We start from the raw sequence: 21,731 nt of genomic DNA, 5'->3' as shown, positions 1-21,731 counted from the left end.
CCACATCTCTATTCCACTTTATAAACTATTTGAATAAAAAGATTAAATATATTTCCCTTCAAATTTGCTGAATAGTTAAGTAATTGATATGGAAGATGTATGTGGCAATCTTTGGGGGTTTACTGTGAGCAATTAGGAGATGTTTTCTACTGCTGGTGGTGTATAATTTGCTATAACTGCGCTGGAAAATGTTTTGGCAATATCTTTCAAAGCTACTAAAGCGACCAGTACCCTCTGACCCAGCAACGCCACTCTGAGGTACCCAACAGAAATGCAAACAAAAGTTCACCAGGGACACGTGGGACAATATTCATAAACTTGTAACTGCAAGAAAAGAGAAAGAACCCATATGTCCATTGGCGGTAGAATGGACGAACGCAGTGTGGTATTCTCCTATGATGGAACTGCCCAGTTATGGAATGCAAGAAATACAATTTTGCAGCACAGCATGGAAAAATATCAACACATAATGTTGAGTGAAAGAACCTGACCCAAAGGAGTACCTACTGGAGGATTCTATGTAAGCAAAATTCAACAGCAGGCAAAGCTGGCCCATCGTGCTGGCCTTAGGATGGTGGTAGCCCTGTCCCAGGAGGCAGCACGGGGTGCTTCTAGGGTGCTGGTATGGTCAGCTGTCCTGATCTGGGTGCCACTTACAAAGGGCTAATTGGTTTGTGATATTGGCCAAATTACACACCTTTGACTTGTGTGTGTGTGTGTGTGTGTATGTGTTTTTTTTGAATTTAGTTATACTTGAAAGTTTACTTGAAACATTTCTAGAAGGCTGCTCCCTCTGAGCAAAGCTGCCTGGGCAGCATCGAATTCCCAGTCAGGAACTCATGTTTTTAGAAGGGAGTTGTGGTGAGGCTCTTAGGAGTACATAAATGAGAGGTGCAAAAAGTGGGGTGCTTGGTGCAACTGGATTTCTTGTGGACAGCGGCCAGGGGTGGGATGTGCGCATTGCGTGGGCACAGGAATCTCAATAGCTGGCCCCAGAGCAGAAGCAGAGAAGGTGTGAAGGCCTGGACTCTTCTGAGCTTGAGGTCAGGGGATCTACTTGCACATTAGAGTTATTTAAATGAGGAAAATGCATGCCCTTTTTGAATCGATGTTGTCAAGCCTTTCTTTTCCTAGGAGAATCTTTCGATTCCCAGCATGGGGAAAGCATGTTTTCAGGTATTAAAATGAGTAAGGTTGTAACAGTTACCATGAATCCACATGTTGTGCCCCATTCTAAATCAAGTATGATGATAACAAACACTGTAACCCGTGCCTAGGAACACTTGTTTCAAACTTCAGACCCCTCTCCAGTTACATGGGAAGCATGGCTGTGGGCATGCATCTCTCTCCGCATAATCTGCGGTCGCTTAAAACTTAAAGTTATGGCAAACCATGTTGTCCTGATGATTATAGTTTCCTGATGTCACTCCCCATTCCAGTTCTGCAATCCCAGGGACATCCAGTCCAACTACCCAGCAAAGACACCTGCCTGCTACTGTATGACGGCATTGGCTGAGTTTGAGGAGGGCACACAGGAAGCTCCAGGTGCTATCTACAGCCTCTGCATAGGTAAGTCACTGGGTCCTGAGAGCAGACCGGGATATTTGCAGGGAGCTCATGGATGGGAATGTGAAGCTGAAATTTCACTATACCTTCAGGAAGGCTTCCAGGAACCCCTTGAGATTCAGAGAACTGCGAGTTACTCTCCCTTACTGCCATTGATTATAAAATCTATTTTTAAGAGAAGGAATAGCTAAAATCTTAGATGATAATAAATATAACTTCTTAAATCCAGTAGAGGACAATAAATATATGTTAAAACGAACTCATGAAAATAGCAGCCATTGACTGAATATTTAGTTTGTGTAGGCAATGTGCTTGGCGTTTTTACAATAATCCTGGCAGGTAAAATGAAATGTAAATAAACCTTATTCACAGGACTATAGTGAGGTTAAGAGATCATGCCTGTCTCACTTTTATAAACTATAAACTATGTGAGTGCCTGGCTCACTTTTCTGATACTTTTGTCTGAACAGAGTCTTGGTGATATTTTAACTTATGGTATTTTTTGAAGCCATACTAAATTCTCATGTGAATTTAAAGAATAATATAATGCCTGTAATCCCAGTGCATTGGGAGGCTGAGGCGGGCAGATCATGAGGTCAGGAGATCGAGACCATGGTGAAACCCCGTCTCTACTAAAAATACAAAAAATTAGCCCGGCGCGGTGGCGGGCACCTGTAGTCCCAGCTACTCAGGAGGCTGAGGCAGGAGAATGGTGTGAACCTGGGAGGCGGAGCTTGCAGTGAGCAGAGATCGCACCATTGCACTCCAGCCTGGGTGACAGGGCGAGACTCCATCTCAAAAAAAAAAAAAAAAAAAAGAATAATACAAATACAAGTTGCAGTGTTTCATTATTTCTACACAATGTCCTTCTCTCAAAAGCTGATATTTATACAGGCGGTAACAATATATTTAGAATTTTTTGTAATGCCAGAAAAATAACAAAACATAAACACATTGATTAATACTTTAAGTCCATTGGACATGGATACTATAGGAAAGAATGGATTCCCCAGTCATCTCAAAGCCAAAGGTTCCTTGTTATAAAAAGTTAGAAATACAGATTTTTTTAAAAATAGTATTTTTAAAAAGGTACTAAAAGTCCAATATTAAGAAACTTAAAAATTATTGTATACATAGATATAAAATTGAGTCCTCTAATAATTAAACATCATGTATTTTTAAATGTTTTAATTTATTTATTATTTATTTTAGAAACAGGGTCTCACTGTGTCACCTAGGCTGGAGTGCAATGGTGCAATTATAGCTCACTGCAGCCTTGAACTCCTGGGCTCAAGTGATCCTCCAGCCTCAGCTTCCTGAGTAGCTGGGACTACAGGCATGTGCCACTACACCTGGCTAATTTTTAAGCCTCAAGTGATCCTCCTGCCTTGCCCTCTAAAGTGTTGGGATTATAGGTATGAGCTACTGTGGCCAGTGTAAACATCTTTTAAAATATTAAATGGTATAGGAAATATCTCAGGATATACTGTTAATGAGCAAAAACACACACTAATATATTAATAATCATTGTTCCTAAATGACAAAATTCTGTGAGCCTTTTATTTACTATAACATGCTTTTCTATATTTTTGTAATATTCCAGAGTGCCCATGTCTTACTTTTTACATTGAGGCTGTGAAATGTGAGAACACAGGAAGGAACCTGGTTTTGGCACCTCTGTGGAGCAGTGCTTCCCACCCTGGCCACAAGTTAGAGTCACCTGGCAGCGTCCAAGCCCCTGCCACCATGGCCGTGCCCATCAGAGTGTCGGGTGAGGCCTGGCTTGGCAGCAGCTGCTCAAAGCCCCCAGCAGGCTCCAGGGCTGCTGCAGGAAGGCAGGCACCTACTTTCTAGAGGTCTGTGGGTTTTGGATGGGGCTTGAAACCATATCAAAAACTCCCAGAGCCCAAACACAGCCCTGCTTCTTATCAAATCACCTTGGAATCTCTGTCAAAGCTAAACATTCAGGGATGTTTGTATCAGAATTAAAGTTCTGTGCACTCATAGGGCAAGAGTGTTGAACAAAAACTAGAGTTCTAAGCTATGCTTTTGGATGAAATAGTGAATCTAATTGAGATTGTCAATGATTTTTTTCCTTATCGATCCTCTATTGAAGGAGGTACATTGACAAAACATTGGGAATGTGAAGAGAATGTGGTTTACTTGTCTGTGGGGGGAAAACATCACACTTGTACACATCAAAGATGGAGGAACCAAAACCACCATCCTGCAAACACATGGGAGAGGGGAATTGCTGTCAGGTGTTTTCAACTGTATATTTCACCTGGGAAAAAAAAGAAGGAAATTTCCTGGGTGCCAGGTGATTTGAATAGGACATTTTTGTGGGATTATCGAGGCAATACCATGTTTACTGAAAGCGTACTGTGTAGCAGGCACTCACATAGTCTCACACAGTCAACACGACCATGAGGCAGAGCTGGCAGGCTTGGCAGTGTTGGGTCATTACTAGAATGTTTAGGGAAGGGAGTTGTTTTCATTCACGGAGCTTCCTATTTAACAGAAGGTTAAGGAACAAAACCTCTTTCCAAGGTGACTTTTGAAAAACTTTCTACAACATACAGGAATCGCTGCTCCCCTGGCAGACAGCCTGTCGGTGCCTGTCATCCAGCGTCTGGTACAGACATCTCCTCCTTTTCATTCTCAAAAGTGTCCTTGTGTGGAGGGAAAATGATATGGTCACTCTGAGTCTAAGGGGATAATTTAATCTTCCTTGATGACTATCTCTGGATCGTCAAGATAAGGTTGATTCCCATTATAAAAGACAAAGGCTGGAACCTGGGAATCAGGTGTTGCACTGGCACTTGACTGTAAGGCTGTATGGGATAAAGAAAGGTGCACAGTCCTGGAAGTTGGGGGTCTGGGATTCCAGTCCCTGCTCTACCAATGGCTACCTGTGTGACCTTGGCCGGTTACAGAGCCCTCCGACAGCAATTCCATAGTCTACAAACTCACTGCCTTGGTATCACAGGGCAGAGGGATTCCCATCCAGCGTTTCCTACTTGTGCATTCCCATACTGATCTCCAGAGGCCGGCAGGAAGACCCTTCCTCGCTTCACAGGAGGCTGCTGAGGCTCGGCCAGCCACTCCACAGGGCCTTCTGAGGGGGCAGCCATGGCCCTCGGGCCACACTTCCTGTCTACTGTGAGATCAGCCCCTGGCCACACCAGGCCTGATTCTGAGGCCATGTCTAGGCGATGTGAAAACTCTTGATTGAAAGTGACCACCCCAGCTAATCATCTGTTTGTTTTGACTCCAAATGATGGGTTTGAGCAACGTGCCACCCCGGGCAGCTGCCTCAGTCGCCTGGCTGCTGTGTGCTCATGGTTGGCCTGAGACTTTTCACCCACCATGCAGGGCATGAACTTCTGGAATTTGAAATGCTTGGGCAGGGGAATGACCCTGAGCCACAGCACTCATCAAATCACTACTGAACCACCCTTAAATCGTGTGGCTATCAAAGTGAGTCACAATGAGACCCGAAGGGGTGAGACGCCGACTGCAGAACTGCTGTCTAAGCTGGGTATCGGTTTGCAGTGGGGACCTCTGTAGGGGGACCTTGCTGCCCTGCTTCCGGTGAGTCCTGTGGGTCACTTAGTGAGGGCGTCGTGGGTGAGGCTGGGTAGCCCAGGTGTCTGCCTCAGTCACGCCAGGAGTTCCAGTCCCAGCTCTGGCACCCATCAGCCAGAGACCCCAAGCCCATCACGCAATCCCACCCTGGGACCCCACCCCACATCAGCCATCCGTCAGGTGGTGACTGCTGGTTAAACGAGATGCTGTAAACAGTGCCTGGCACACAGTGATGTAGAAGCAAAGGAATATGTTTCACCTCCTTCCTGTTTCAAAAAGGTCTCCATTAATTGGCATCATCATAAGCCCTCCTAAATGTGGTATTTACACGTCATTTATCTGCTGGGCTGCTGACATAGAAGGACAGGTCTTTACAGAGGAGCTGGCTATCATAACATCCAAACACTCCTCAGGTGGGTGCTCGCCTGTGCACCATCTCATCTTAGCTCACTTAACTGAGCCCACTCACTCCCGAGCCAATGCCAGCTTGCTACATATCAAGTCCAGGAATTCATTTCTATAGGATTTTATTCAATCTAGAAAGTAACATGATTTTTAGTGTTTTTTAGACAGTATTTTGAGCAATTTAAAACCCCCTAATACAATCACTGCTGCATTTTATTCAGGAAGCCTGGTGGGTTCTGCTTCAAGCCTGTCTAATCAGTGGCACAAACAGGCTCAGGAAACTGGAATCCAAGTCTAATAAATAAAAGGTGTGAGGTTTAGAAAAAAAAAAAAACAAAACGTCTAGCAAGCGAGATGAAACCTGCCTCGCTGGGCAGCTGCTCTGAAACCGGTTACTGTGGATTGCAAATCATACCCTGGCTGATTGAGCCCTAAACCACAAAATGTCTAAAGAATGAAGCAAAACACTTTAGTTCTAGTGCACTTTGGTGTAAGAAGGAATCCATTAGAGTTAGAGGACTCAGCGGGCCAGGCAGAGAGAGCACACACCGCGCGATACCCGAACCCAGCTGGCAGGGTTTCTTGGGAAGAGTGCAGTCAGCTGTCTGCTAGCATTCAGCGATTCCAAATCCAATTTCTATGGTTTCTGAATCAGTTCCTGGGATATAAATGGAAGGGGGGAAAAAGCAACAATGATGCTTCCAAGAATAAAAGCAGTTGCAAGTCTGGAAAACCCCCAAAACTCCATTCGCTGGAAGGAAGCTTTTCTGAAGGCACTTGAATCCCCTTCATTTCTGCATAGTGTCAATGGAAAATGAAATCACTCCCATCTTGGCCCTGAAATGCTTCTCCAGCGACTTCACACCTGGGCCCAAGATCTGCCAGGGGCCAGCTGGTCATTGTGCAGAGGCTGGTGGCTAATGGCCAGCGAATGGCAAGAGAAAGGAGAGCGGGGCTAAAATCGGTCCCAAATAAAGCATGAAAAGCAATATTTGAAATTCTACTTCCGGATCCGAACAGGAAACAGAATGGAAACCCAGTAAATCACAGACTGGAAAGTTGCTTTGCTCCTTAATTCCCAGTCACACAGTCTCCTATGAACTTCCTGGTTTTGGACACATGCTAATTGAGCTATAAATAATTTAATGATCGTAAGACATTTAACATGGGAAACAAAGGCCTATAAATCATCGGGGTCAGTGCCAACGAAAATTGGGGGCTTTGCCCAGCCTCTGTCCGCCTTTCCCAGTGTGTGGGGTGGGAGAGCTGCCCCATGTGTGAGGACGCCCCGCAGACCGGGCAGGCTTGGCTGCAGCAACCTGGATACATGCTTCTGCTTTATTATCTTCTTGGGTTAGCAGTGATCAAGTCACAGAGACATCCATGTCTGCAGAGACCCCTTTTCTCTCTTTTTGGCTACATTCCTACTGGCACAGAATACATAAATAGGAAAAGAAAATAGATATTTATATTTTCCATTATGCTGTTTTAAATCTACTATGTCTAGAATTTTATAGCATGGGATATGTTACATATTCTTTTAAAAATAAGGTAAATTTTCTAAATTAAAAAAAAGCTCAAAACTTGTTGTCTCTGGAAATTCTCATAAGATTCCTAGGAATCTCCTCACTTCTTCCCTCCCCAGCAGTATCTCATCATGTGATGCCTCATAACAACATACACTGTGTGTTTATGCTGTTATCTCTCACATTTTTCTTTCTGTGCCTCCTCATGTACTTTCTTACTTGGTTATCCGGATAACCTTCTCAGCGCGGAGAGGTCGCCTGCCGGAGGGAACCCACAGCAAATGCACAACCAGCCAGCAGCCCAGAGCTCCCTCTTGTTCTGAAGTCCAGTGGAGAACTGTTTTAGAGCTCATTCAAAAGGAGATGGGCTTTATATTTTTGTTTTCATTTGCTGAAACACCAGACAGGCCCTTTTGTCATGGAAATAAATGCAATCCTAGGCCCAAAGGAATGATAGAATTTGTCCTGTGAGTCAAAAGTTTATACCTAAACCAGGAGAGGATATCCCTTTAAGAGCAAATTTGGAATTAAGCCTCTCTGCAAAGGTAATATTCTGACTAGCAATGACTCACATGGGAAAGCGAGGAAGGCTTTGAATTACTGCTTCAGAACCTGTCTTGTCTTGCTTTCTGCTTGGTCGCTGGCAAAGAGGAGCTGCCCTAACCAGTAAGCAGCAAGCATTGCAGTCGGCTTTGTGCTTTGTAGCAGGTCCTTGATTTTTTTTGGAGAGGGCCATGAGGCCACACCTCAAGGGCCAAATCAGCCTGCAGTCATTATTACCTGGGAACACATCCCAACACCCGATTCTTCCATTGCTGTAGATAGTCCTTAAAATTTTCCAAGAATAAAAGCATCTCAGTTTAACTATAGAAAGACTTGATGCTTGGGAAGAAGATGAGGGTATCCAGACCCCTTTTGTTTAGGTTGCATTAATATGTTTTATGTGGAAATAGATTTTAAATGACTTTGCAGATCACATAATTTAATCCTCTGTGCACATTAATCTATTTCCTTTCTGATGTTCAAGGTTTGGGAATTTATTTGCCTAAGGAGGCAATAAATTCTTCTTCCTATGGGACTGTGCTGCTCATTCTGCTAAATGCTGTCCCTCCCACCTTCTCCCTTGCAGCCCCCTCCAGCGTATCACTCTATTGCAGTCTCACTGAGCAATGACCGTCCTCACAATGTATCCTGCTGATTTATATGTTTACATAGGCATTTCTCTTTCCCCACTAAGATGTAAGCTCCAAAAGAACAGCAACTTGCCCAGCCTGTGTTGAGGTGCTTAGTTCATGTTTGTGGAGTTCAAATCACTCCTTAGGAAGTTGCACATGAAGTCAAACTTTGGCCCTGTTTCGCTTCCACCCATCCATTGCCTCTTATTCTGCCACCTGGAGTCCTACAGATTAAATCGAATTTCGGTTTGGAGTGACTGTGCTTTGAGAATGGAGTCCTACAGATTAAATCGAATTTTGGTTTGGAGTGACTATACTTTGAGAATTTGAAGATGGCCCTCCTACCTGCAACTCCCTTCCCCATCTCTCCTGTCATGACTAACTCACGCCAGTTCTTTCAACTAGTGTTCATGAATTCCAGGCATGGCGACTTGCCTTCAGCCTACTGCTATTTCTCAACTTCTGAAAATGTAGCATGTAAAACTCACAAACCTCTGACCACAGATTTCACTTCCCAAAATTATTCCACAGACACTCACTCAAGTACCTAAAAATGTGTGAACAAGGATGCTCATGGCAGCCATTTATGGAGATAACCCACACATTCGACAACAGAGGAAGAGACAGTCACTCTCGGACCCCTCTGCACACCGGCACCCAGGGCAGCTCTGGCGGAGTGATACGGCCCCTGTGCGTGAACATGGACAGTTCCGAACATGAGTTATAAGTTCTAAGTCATGACTAGAACATAAGCATGATTCTATTTTTGTTGAAAATTCTGTGGGAATGGCCTATGGCCATTTCTTATCACTCAGGGCTTTTCTAGGCTCTTGCATGACAAATAGACTAACTCAGGGTCAGAGATTTCTGCATTTGGAATGAGTCACACTGCAGCTAAAAATCACCTTTCAGAAGTTCTGCCAACTTAAAAAGAATAGAACTTTTGTCTCAACTTCATCTTTCAAACACAATAACTAAAGAGGAAATACAGATTTTTCTAAGGCATCCAATAGGAGCCAGAAAAAAGATGGTTCTTTTATACAGCAGTGGAGGTGTTCATGAGCTGTTCTGTGTTTCTTCACATTTTTATACATAGTATAGTACCATTTACATGAGATTTAAGTATTTTCCTTAGTTTGCAAACCATTTATTTTACAAGTAGGCGTGTCTTTTGAATAGCTTGTGCCAGATAACGGGGGAACAGGGGGAAGATAATGCAGAGTGGGCAAACTCTATATAGCATATAGGCACTTGTGCAAAAAATAATCTTCCAATTTCAAATGCAAATATTGTTCTGTCCTCAAATCTGTGGCCTTGAGAATTTGGAAGTCAAATGTGCTCTGAACAACTGGAATTCACTGCCGTGATCTGCAGCATTCTCTGCCTGGCAGGGCAGTGCTTGGGACATGCAAGATGCTGGAAGAGATGAACTCTGTGCAGATGTCTCATGCCCTGCAGCATCCACTCTTCACAAATTTCCTCTATTTGGGGTTATACTGCCAGTATTTCACATGAAATTCATTAGACGTGAACATCTGAAATAATAGATTTTTTATATTGCTTAATTCCATAGGTGCCACGGAAAACAAAAAAAGAAAAATGGAAAAACAATAGGTCTCTGTCATCAAATAACATCAAATAACAAAACCCAATGGGCATTTTTCTTGATTGAGGGAACAATATTCTTCGAGTGATCGTTTTGCTTGTCATGTGGCTTGCCAATGGAAATAGGAAAAAAGTACACACCTACTATCAGGAAGAAAAAAACTGGGGAGGGAAAGAAGGCAAGGAGCAGGGAAGAAATACATAATTGTTACCACATTAACTAGTCTGTATGCACAATCAGAACGTTTGAGTTCCAATAAACCAGATGCTGCCAAAATATGCTGCTGCTTCTATCTTTTCTGAGTGTGTATGTGTATACACACACATACACACACACATATATTTATTTATGGGCAAAACAAACTGACTTTTCCTGTATTTTAATTTTGCTTGGGAAGGCACAAAGTTGGCAATATATATGTTTCTACTTACATATTTAGGATGTTTATTGTGAAAGCCAATTCAGGAATATTTGAACTGTAAGAGTTGAAGACAATTCCATGGGTAATAAGGTAATGTCTTGACTTGATAGATTTTTACCAGGATCTCTAAATATGATTTTTTAAAACCGACTTTAAAATGTACACTTTACAGTGTACATTTTACAATGCAGCTTTGAGGATAAATGATAAACCATCACATTAAGGATAAATGTTGATAATAGGATACATCAGACTTCCAGAGTTTAGGAGACATGTCTTAGAATTAGAGTCAGGACTAGCCTTTTGCATGAAATAATTAATTTGAAGAGTTTTACTTTAAGTCTCTACATCAAAGATAACATTTCCTTCAGGCCTGTGGATTGTGGAGTGCACAGGCAGTGCAGGCCTGATTTTTGGAGGGATATGTAAAGGAAACAGAACTGAAGATTGATAAACAATCCCTGGACATATTGGTGCCCAAGGAAAGCAGATCCATTTTGCATTGAATGAGCAGGGCAAAACTGATTAGGAAATGAAGGCATATTGCCACAGAATGAAGGGAAAAGGTGGGCTTGCCCCACTGGAGGGACTTACTAGGGTTCTCAGAAAAGGGAGGATGATGACAATATTGGTGGCTTCTGACCCAGAATGGTTTTGTGAGTTAGGGCGAGGGGCCCTACAGACACCTGGACGCACACTGTTCAACGTACTGCTGGGGGAGCAGTGAGCGTGTGCGTACCTGACACATCCAAATCCACTCCAGGATTGCAGGCACTGTACTATCAGCACTGCCCTGCACTGAGCTGCTGCTGGGTTTTTGGAATAGCAGTGGCTGTGAGTTTCTGCTGATGTCATCCCACATTCAGCCCTTGCCGCTAGGCTCCCAGACCTGGGTCTCTAGGTCTCCTGGGGACTCTGCACTACCTGATACAACTCCTATACCAAATTCTTAAATTTTGTTGTTTTCAAGTAAGCACACAGAAATCTATGTGTGTCAGCCCTTCTCATGTTATGCTTAAAATTTTGTCACATTCTCCACATCTGAGTTATCTCACAGGAAAGAATAAAAATAAGTTGTTTCTAAAAGCTTATCAAATAGAACATTTGTCTTAAATTATGTCTTATCTACCAAACAGATGTGTTTTTTTTAACAATCAAAACAACTAAATTAAAATAGTTAATGCATTTGGAACAATGGTTAATATAAATAATCTTTAGGATGAAATCAGAGTTCTTTCACTCTTTCTATATAAGCCCTGATTAGACTGATGTTTTGTGATTCACCCTGGATGTTGTCAAACCCTGTAGAGTCAGATGTGTAGGTGGTCTCAATTTGCACTAAAGCTCCCTAAATGCTTCTCCAGTTGTGCCCATGGCTAGTTCACAAGGCTATCATTTGTGCAGAAGCTGTTTTCATGAAGAAAAGGAGGGAAACAATTAGTGTCCACGTTAGGATACTGGAACTACTAGAGCCTGGTTCTCTTTGATCATGAAAGACTCTGTTTTATCAGAAAGTAATAGAGTAATTCCCTCTCTGCCAACAACAGAAAACCATTTTAAAATCTTAGCGCTGACTTTGAAAAGCACTTAGAATGAGAATAAAAAGCAACAGCAAATGATCTAGTTTCATCTCAAATACTTGAAGTGATGAAGGCATAATCTTTCTGCAGTTTTCCACTTGTGCATTCCCCACTCTTCTCAGCCACAAACCACACCAAAAGGTATGTGGTATATTTCTGAAGGAGCCACATTATAAATGAATGTATCATTCTTGCCTGAGCATTTGACATCAGGGGAGATGGCTAAAAATAAGCAATAAAGGCAGACATGTAACAACCGCAAGCTCCTCTAATAATAATTTAGAACATTCATTAGACTCCAAATCCAAAATCAAAAGCAAACATCCATTGTACAAGCACTTTATAAAGGGGCACCCCTGCAGCATAAAGTGACTATATCAGGCAAAAAGCTTGCTATTAATATTCCTATCCCTGGAATTCTTACTCATCCAGATTTCCCCCTTCAGTTACTTTTTCTCTTTCACTTGAGTAGTTTTCTGAGTGCAGCTGATCTGCATTGGATCAAATGAAGCCAAAGCACAAGCAATACATGACTATAAATCACTTTTCCTGACAGTCTGCCCACTTCCTACTGCGTTGTAAAACAACAGAAAAAATGTGGGGCAGTAACATGAATTTTTGGATGAAAAGAGTCAATGCCCCTCAGAGTTACTGAGGCAGCCTAGCCTCTTACAGTGGGTTGGGAGAGAGGGGAAGAGGGGCAGTGCCTAGGCACTGGATCAAGCCAGGCAGGGCAGAGCTTTGGGACTTCACACGCCGACATATTTCCACTAAGAACATAAATCGCTCCTCATCATTTGTGAAACAGTTACCGCATGCGGTAGACAGTGCCATATGCATCCCTGGAATCCTTCAGATAACCCCCACAGATAGGCTCTAGGTTTTCTTAATTGAGAGATGAGACAAATGAGGCTCACGAAAGTCAACTTGCCAAGGTCATCCAGCCAATAGGCAGCTAGGGCAGGACTGAAACCCGGCCTGTCTCAGAATCCATGGGGCTCCACATCTGCATCTACCAGGCATCATCCAGCACAGTAGCAGCGACGGCGGAGTTGGGAGCCTACGGAGGACGGTTTCAACCCAGCTTGGCAACCTGCTCCCTGCACGGCCTTAGGGAATTCCATGGCACTTGCTCTCCATGCCTCGGTCTCCTCACTGAATTGCCTGCAATGCCTTTTGCCACACAGATTGTGGATGAGGGGCCAAAGCACTCGGGATAGTGCCTACCAGACAGGAGCATTCGAGAAGCTGCTCCTTTATCGGTAGCAACAGGTGGTCTATCCTACTCAGTGCTGCCCAACACTGCTTCTAGACAAAACAGGCACACGCCCTTTATAACTCCTATAAATTGGATTTGAGTTGGGCCTCGATTGACATTGCTGTTTCTTAATATGAGCACAGGAACTTCTACCCTTCTGGCATGGAAAAATAAAAATGAATATAATGCAAGTAATGAATTTTTAGAAACAATGTCATTTCAGAACAGTTTCAGTCTTGTGAATTAAAAGATGTGAGCCTTCTATGCAGCATCCTTTATTCTTAAACCAGAGATGATGAAATCTGTATGAATAGTCACATGTCATGTCTGGTAGGCATAGGTTCAAGTATATATAAGGATGTGACAAGGAAGAAACAGTTTCCAGAATATTTAAGAGTCTTTTACAGGTCATATTTCTACAGACTCTTATGTTTGAAAGAATGTGGCCCAATGTGGACCATCCAATATCCAAACACCCACGACATCATTCTTTGGTTAGATTTAACTACCACCACCCACAGGCACATCATTCCCTCCCTAAGCATTACCCTTCTGTAGCTCCTTCTAGACCAGCTTTCTTCCTTAGCTTGTGCTTTAAATGAAAATCTGCCAGCTTTTCACTTAGTCTCTGAATGCAATGCTGCAGGTTCATAAATGGTGGATCACATTCTGTAAGGGTATCTTTACAAAAGTATATTACAGGGTGTTAGGAAGGGAGATATATTTGAAGACATATTATGGTTATGCACTTCTGCAATGAGACTGTCTAGTTAACTAAACCATAATATTAATTAAGAAATCAGTTTAAAAAGCAACCCTCCCAAATCCCTTTCCATGTATTAAGCACACAATTCAGATTTGCTCAGAGAGGACACACACTGAAGGGCTTGCAGAGACTGGGAAAGGTCATCAACTTCATAAATGGATGCTCTCAAAGTTCACCAACAGAGGATGCCTCAAAGAAGGGGAGGACATTCGGAAGCAGCTCACCCTCCTGAGGAAGAAAATACTGAAACTGCACTAAGAGTTCTGATGCAAAAAGATAATTCATGACCCATATGGGGAGTCTATTCTTATATCTTTCTCCATCTTCCCAAACTCCCCAAACTTCTTCAAAGGAAGAAGAAACTATACAGAAGTATTTTTAAAATCTACAGAAGTCAAAGCACGTGGCCTTCTTATTACATTGTCTGAAATGTTCCTCTTTCAAAGATGTTAAGGACTGCAGAATCTGCAAGATTTAATTTTTCCCTCTCCTCCATGCTTTAAACAAAATCTGATTTCACCATCTAGCTAGGTATATCAACCAACAGTTACATAGTGTGCCTCCTGAGAATGTTTATCAGGAGTTTTAAAAAAATTTTTAAAATTTCTATTTAAGATATATAAATGAACAGATACTTAGATAAACATACACATTATACATGTGGTATATAAATTTCATTGCTTAATTCTGACCCTAAAGAGTTGAAAAATGTTTTTTCCAAAAAGCATTTTGACGCAAACATCAGGGGAAAACCATATATTGTTAACATTACTTTTGGTAAAAAAAATTGTTACATTGTTTTGCTGAAATCTTATTCTTTTGACGAGCTGGGCCACCAAGAAGCAGCAGACGCTGCAGTTCAGTGTGCATGTCCAAGTCCAGTTCAACTTAGTGAGTGAACAATATGCAAAGAGCAATGTGTTAGCTGCTTTTAAAGCAGAGTTGAGTTAGACATAGTCCTTCACCTGGAGAGCATGGCTCAGGTAAGATGAGCCAGACAGACCAGGAGAATGTGGAGTGGAGTGCCCTGCTGGAGGTCGAAGGTGGCTGGGGTTCCTGGAGGGAGCAAAGCCATCTGGCTGAGAGATGGGGAGAGGAATTTGGAAATGTCCTTGGAGATTAATCTTGAGGGGCAGGTGGGAATCTTTCCAGTAGGGGTCTTACAGGTGGGAGTGGGGAGCTGAGGCTCTGGGTGAGGGAAGGTGGTGATGAGTGGGGGTGGGTCACATAAGTGGGCTTCTGTGGAGCACAGGGACCTGCAGGGCAGAGGCAGGGAACACGTTCAGAGAGGTTTTCAGAGCCACACAGTGACAGGCTTTAATGCCAGAGTGACAAGTTTGATGGAAACTGAGGGTTTTAGTCAAGAGAATGTCATGATCTGAGCCGAGCTTCGATACAGAGTTTCCCGACATAGCACAACCTCTTCCCCTCACCACGTGATCCAAGGCTTCTGGGCTGCGTGGAAAAGGGATGGGAAGAAATTAAGTCAAAATTGCTGAACCTCCGTTGCTCAACCTTAGAAAATCCTAGAATACACAGTATGCTGTGGAGAACTGTTGACAGGCAAACTTGTTCTAAGTTTCAAAATGGGAAAGAAGATGGAGATATTATAAATACCTATCTCAGGAAAAAATATAGACAGTTTAAAAAAGTTGCTGTATGTGCATGTACAGACAGACTTGTTACTCCTAAATGCAGGTCATGTGTGGCTAACCTGTTTCATAGCTGGGCAGTACTACAAAGCGGACAGGTCAGGGCAGCAGCCTCAGCCAATGCTGTGCCCGGACGCAGCATGTGCGGCAAGTTTCTCCTGATTCAACTGCACCTTAAAAGGAAGTATGCAGGCTGGCTGATAGGATTTCATGGATTCGTGACAGGTTAAAAAAAGCACAGTGATAAGAGGATGGATTTCTCAGTAGGTGAGAATTAAAATGGTGTTAAAATACAGAACTCAGCCTCGCTCCACATCCTCACGGTAATTCAGTAAATAGAGCGACAGAAAGAACACGGGGAAATGCTGGAGCAGAACTGTGTCTGTACCGATGGCATATCACATCTGAGTGTACCTCAGTAAGCTGGAAGGAAGTGCTGAGAACAGTAGGAACTGCAAAAGGAACAAATGACGAGGACTTAGGTCCCAAAGCCCAGTGACGCAAGCGTAAAGTCTGGTGGACAGGACAGGGCAGGCTTCCTCGAGTTTCCAGTCTTCCTGGATACCTTCTGCCCGGGCCCCTTGTTCACATCTGGCAGCCCTTGCAGAGGTTGTCAGAAGGAGCAGAGTTGTCAGAGGGTTGCTCGGAGGAGGCTGCTCAGCCGCGGGAGGAGAAGAATCAGCTGTCTGCAAGCCCAAGGCCAGCACGAGGAGAAACAGTTTTGTGTGGTGGAAAAGCACCAGGTAAAGGTGAGGCAGGGACGCCGACACTGGTATTCACAGCAGCAATTTTTTATGACAGTTTAAAGAAAAATTGTTGGAACTGTCAAAAAAATGGAGCATATTGCCTCTGGCAGTGGCAAGTTCCCTGTCATCCAAGTGTTCAATTGACTTCAGGGCCCCGCCAGCCCTCCAAGACTAACAGTGATGTGTGACGTGAGGCTTGGCAGCTGACTCTGGATAGAGCCTCCGAGTGGCTCAGGTGGCCGGCTTCCTGTCTGCGTGTCCCAGGAGTGGCCCACCCCAAGGACGGCGTGTGGAGATGACAATGAGGCCTTGGCAGGCGTGGGTCTCCAGCACGGTGCTCCACCCAGGGCGGAAGTGGAGGTCCCCTTTCAAAGCCTTGGGTGACCACAGCTTTGAGCAGGGTCACTCTGCAGTAAACAGCTGCAGTAGCTCTTAGATAACTTAGAAAACAGACCTCTCGTAGGGGAAGAATTTCCTGCAGACATTTCTCCCTCGAGGGCCTCCCACCCACCTCAGAGGCTGCACCCAAATCCTGAGGATCTGGCAAGAACCATGTTTTTGAGATGTAATTAATACAACTGTTTACACACAGCATCTGCTGGGGCAGAGATGGCGGTTGTGTGCAAGCCACAGCTGTGATTGGAGCAATCTGATGACAGTGAGCTCATGGTGTCCCCAAGGAGGCCTTTGTGAAGTGCCTGACATAATTAAAATTGGGAGGAAAACTAGGTCAGGTGACCCAGGGTGGTTTAGGTGAAAGGGCTTCAGAGCTCCCAGCTCTGCCCATTCCCTGGGCACTGTCAGGCATCGTAGAAAGGATGCGTGCTGAAAGGCAAAGCCACCACAGTCTCCGCTGAGGAGCAGTGCCTCAGAGATGCTGAGAGATGCTGCTTTCCATTCAGAGTGGCCACCACTGACATCTCTGACAAGACTGGCGGCAGTCTGCTGGCTGGGTCTCTCAGAACAAAAATTTAAAAAAGGATTGAAACCATAAGATGCAGCCCCCCTTGTATTATCTGTAAACACCAGCACATTTGATGCATCGGTTCTGTCTCAGATTTCAAATTCAATTCATTAGCCTATCCTTTTCCATTAAAAAGTTTCCACTTACAGTGTTGAGAATTGGGCCCCTTTCTTTTTTTTTTTTTAATTGCACATCTGTTCACAGAGGTTGGCAAAAGACACTGGAAGTGATTGTGAAATCCACATTGTGATTCCTCAGGAATCAGATCCTAGAAGGGGGTGCCCAGAGCTGTCGGCACACCGTCCCAGGAGTCTGCCTGTGCAGCTCCCAGCCAGGCAAGAAGCCCTGAAGGCAGAGTCCCAGGTGGACACAGCTGGACGCCTCTCTGACAATGGTGGCTCTGGTGGTGAACCCCTCGGTGTCTCTTCTGCACCTCTCAAGGCTGCAAAGTGCCAAATACTCTTTTCCAACCAGCTCCCGAATTCCCCCCTCCATCTGGGACTGCATGTCCTGCTTAGCGATTTCAAGCAATGATTTCACCTTTTCATAGACAAGGACATTGTCCTCATCAGGGCTTGCACCATCACTCTGATTTCCAATGCTGACAGCCAAGTGGAGGTTTTTAATTCTTAAAAGAATGTGGCATTAAAAAGAAAAACTCACCCATCTCATGGTCTAAAATAAAGCAAAACAAGTCAGATGGCTCTGCCTAACCCAGCACAGCATCTGTTACATAATCTGAAACTTCTGTGTAATTGAGTGAGATGTGGGAGAACTCAAGCACAGTCTTTGTAGCATTCTGGGCATGGAATCCTGATCCGTTAATTCCAGAGACTGAATCAACAGAGGAACACAGAGAAAGCCACCACCACGATGTGTGAAAAGGAGAGATACGAGAGAGCACACAGAGGGCTGTTTTAGAAATTGATTTTCATCTTCTGTTTGAGGCCCTGGGAAAAGAGTGAGAGAGTAGAGGGAAAACATGGACGTTTATGAAGAGCTGCCAGAGGCCAGGTTCTCATCACTTTCCAGGGCCTCTCAGGAGAGGCCACCTGAGGCTCCTGTCTGACTCCCCACTGCTTCGAAATCAGAAGACTCGGGGAGTCAGAATCAAATCACTTAATTAGCTCACAGACAACACTGGACACCTTTTAGGGTTTACTGGTTCACATACTATTTCAACTACTTTGTTGAATCTTTTTAACAAGTGGAGGAAACTGAAGCCTTGAATCACAAAAGGCTGGCAGTGTGGAGGGCCAGGTTTGCCTGTTCTTACTATCTGTTTGATGACAAGACAAATTAGTTATTTTATTTTTATATTGCCGGAGTAACTTGTTCTTTGAAGCAAAATTAGAATTATAGATAAGCAAACAGAAAAAATACTTAACAACAATATGCATACAGTACTTATATTTCTCAGGATTCTTTTTATGCATACGTAGTAAACAGGTATATTTATTTACAAAAGTGAGATTTTACTGCACATAATTTCTGATGCCTTAAGGTTTTTTTTTCATTTAACAACATATAGTAAAGTTTTTTAAAGCAAATATTTATCCAAAAATACATTTTACTGGCTGAAGAGTATTTCATTCTATGGAGTTGCCATCACGTCTCTGAGCAGTTCCTGACTGTGGGAAGGTCATGCGTGCTGTCGGGTCAGACCACCCTCAGGAGAGAGCAGTTCTCCCCAGTCCCCCTAGCCCCATCCCTGCCAGTCCTGGCTGCCGAAGGCTGCAAATTAGTTATTTGGAGAAACACAGGCTATTTAGGTTTTGAAAAAATCAGTGAGCTTTCAGTTTCTAACGAAGCTACCAACACCCTCATTTTTTCCCTGTCTTTATGGTCTGCAACCAGATGGAGGCTAAGGATAAAGATTATTTTCTCCATCAACTACACTGTCAGGCAAAGCAACTCTGGGGTCTGTATGAGAGGAAATATGGATTTTATTTATGTTAGCAGTAGTTACTGTTGTGAGGCACTATTTGAGTATTTTTCATTATATTTTAATTTTTTTGAACTTCCTATGATAAAACCATCTACACTTTTCTAAGTAGGAAAAATAAGGGAATGAGTGTCATGTTTTTAAAAATTTGGGGAAAGATCAAGAGTACAGAAGAGCATGGGGCAAAAAAGAAGTTTAGGTGCATTTAGGTGACATCAATAAAGCCCAGTTCTTTTTTTTTTTTGACAAATGGGATCATCCTATAGACATTGTTAGGCAAATTACAGAATCTATCTGCGCTGTCCCTAGTTGGGCACAACATGCTCCATGGCAATCTGTCTTGCTGCTGTGCAGTCCTTCCCTGGGTGGCTGCAGGGGCAGACACAGGGTTTGTAGGTCCTGGGTCTTATAGAAATCAGGTACAAAGTGACACGTATATTTAGAAGGAGAAATTGCACAAATGAGACAAAATGTTTTCCTTATGCAAATTTCATAATATAAATTATAGACACTGCCAGTGCACTGTTAGGACTCCCAGGGCCTTGGAAGGGGCTTCAGTATTATTGGCTTTACAATAGATCTGGTCCAGGTGAATGTGCGATGATTTACTTCTCCATTTTCTCTTTGATGGATATTTGGGCTGGTTACAGTTTTATTGTTTCCTATTAAAAAACACTGGGGAATAAGTTTTATGGGGGAGGATTTATCAGCTGAGGTTACTATTGCGATGACTGTGTGACCTTCCCTTCCCCTGTAGATCTGAGAGCATCCAGGCCATTAGGCAAGGAGGATAGAGGAGGCTGGGATTCTGCGTTCCAGGCAGTACTGCCTTGAAGAAGTGCAAAGACACCACCAGAATCACCTGGGGGTGCTTGTGAAAACTGCAGATTCCTGGGCCGTGGAACTGGGGCAAGGCACAGAAATATGTATTTTGACAAACATCCTCAGTGGCTTCCTCACAGGTTAGAATTCTAGAGCCAGTGACTTGGGCTTCAGAAAGAGCACAGGTATGCAGCCTCGGGCAAGCCACAATTTCAATTCAGTCTCCTTACTAGGGAAAGGGAGCCAGGGATATGCGTGTGGAGGACAGGTGAGGAGCTGGGGGGGTAAGGAACGGACAGCACTTTCATTCCACTACTGTAGCTGCATTCCCCAAGCACATGTGCTAGCCTCTGTATTTTAATATAGAACCTCGGCTGCACCTCCCATGACTCCAGGAGGGACCCTGTGCCCTTCCCTGGCTCCAGCAAGGGCACAAACCGCTCTGCGCCTGCGCCCCTGCAAGCTGGCAGGGGCTGACAGGTGCTGTGGCAGGGCCTCTGCTGCAGCGTGAGGGAGCCATGGGTGGGGAGTTTCTTTTCAGTGGGACCAACACGTGTCCACTTCATAAAAGTGGCCGTGCGGCAGTTCCCACAGGGCTGCGTGGCCGGGAACTCCTGGTCAGTCACTTTATTTCAGAGTGGAAAAACATTTTGGCTTCCTAGATCCCTGAGATCCTGACACTTCCTGTCTTCCTAGAAGTAAAATGGCCATAAACAGAACTTATCACAGGTGACCTCTGGCATCGTATCCCCATCGCCTGATGTTATTTTTACAAGGCAGCCGAAAAGATAGCAGGATTTCAAATCTGGCCCTGCCGTTCTGCATTGCATGTGCAGAGGTCTAGTCCACAGGCCGCCACAAAGTTAACTCAGCAGCAAATTTAAACACATGGGGTACACATCACGGAATTCTTAATCATGACCAAGCACCTGGTGAACACAACCGGAGAATTAAAAATCTGAGGTATGTGTATCAGTGTGCCTGAGAAGATTTTGAAGAGAAAAGGCTTAGGTGGGGTCTGGGAATGAGGTAGAAAGGGCTGCAGTTGGAGCCAGAGGGCCTGGGATACGCTTTTGTGCTGAACTCACCTCAAATCGAATCTTCACTTTCTCTTCTATAAAAAGTGGAGAAAAACAAGGCTTCTTTCACTCCTCCTGAACTAGCTAATATTACTTTATCTTTATCTCTTTCTCCTCCTGAACTAGCTAATATTACCTTATCTGCACGTGTGTGCCTGTGTGTGTCTGTGTGTCTCTGTGTGTGCCCGTGTCTGTGTGTATGTCTGTCTGTGTCTGTATCTGTGTCTCTGTGTGTATCTCTGTGTATTGTATGTATGTCTCTCTGTGTGTGACTGTGTGTATCTCTGTGTGTTGTAGGTATGTCTCTGTGTGTCTGTGTGTATCCCTGTGGGCTGTGTGTATGTCTCTCTGTGTGTGTGCCTGTGTGTATCTGTGTGTCTCTGTGAGTGTGTCTCTGTGTGTGCCCATCTGTGCGTATGTCTGTGTGTGTGTGTGTGTGTGTCTGTGTGTATCTCTGTGTGCTGTGTGCGTGTGTCTGTGTGTATTTCTGTGTATTGTGAGCATGTCTGTGTGTAACTCTGTGTGTTGTGTGTATGTGTTTGTATCTGTGTGTGTCTGCATGCAATCCTTTGAGTCTATAATTAATTCTCTCATTGCACATATCAGAGAATTGTGGTTCTAAAGGCGAAACT

At 43.9% G+C, this 21,731-nt stretch overlaps 1 protein-coding gene across 11 annotated transcripts in view; it reads right to left on the bottom strand.

The window, feature by feature from the left end:
• Positions 1 to 21,731, bottom strand: part of EGFR (epidermal growth factor receptor) — a 192,612-nt gene that overhangs the window by 94,366 nt on the left and 76,515 nt on the right. The window contains exon 1 of one of the 11 annotated variants that reach the window (XM_047419952.1): positions 1 to 21,731. This exon is cut by the window's left edge and continues 17,167 nt beyond it. The exons of 9 other annotated variants lie outside the window; for them this stretch is intronic. The gene's annotated coding sequence lies outside the window, so the exon portion shown is untranslated. One more of the 11 variants, NM_001346900.2, reaches the window with a different exon arrangement.

This window comes from Homo sapiens, chromosome 7, assembly GCF_000001405.40.
Source record: "Homo sapiens chromosome 7, GRCh38.p14 Primary Assembly".
NCBI lineage: Eukaryota > Metazoa > Chordata > Mammalia > Primates > Hominidae > Homo > Homo sapiens.
The sequence above is the reverse complement of the archived record's forward strand: the minus strand, read 5'-3'. Positions and strand labels throughout refer to the sequence as shown.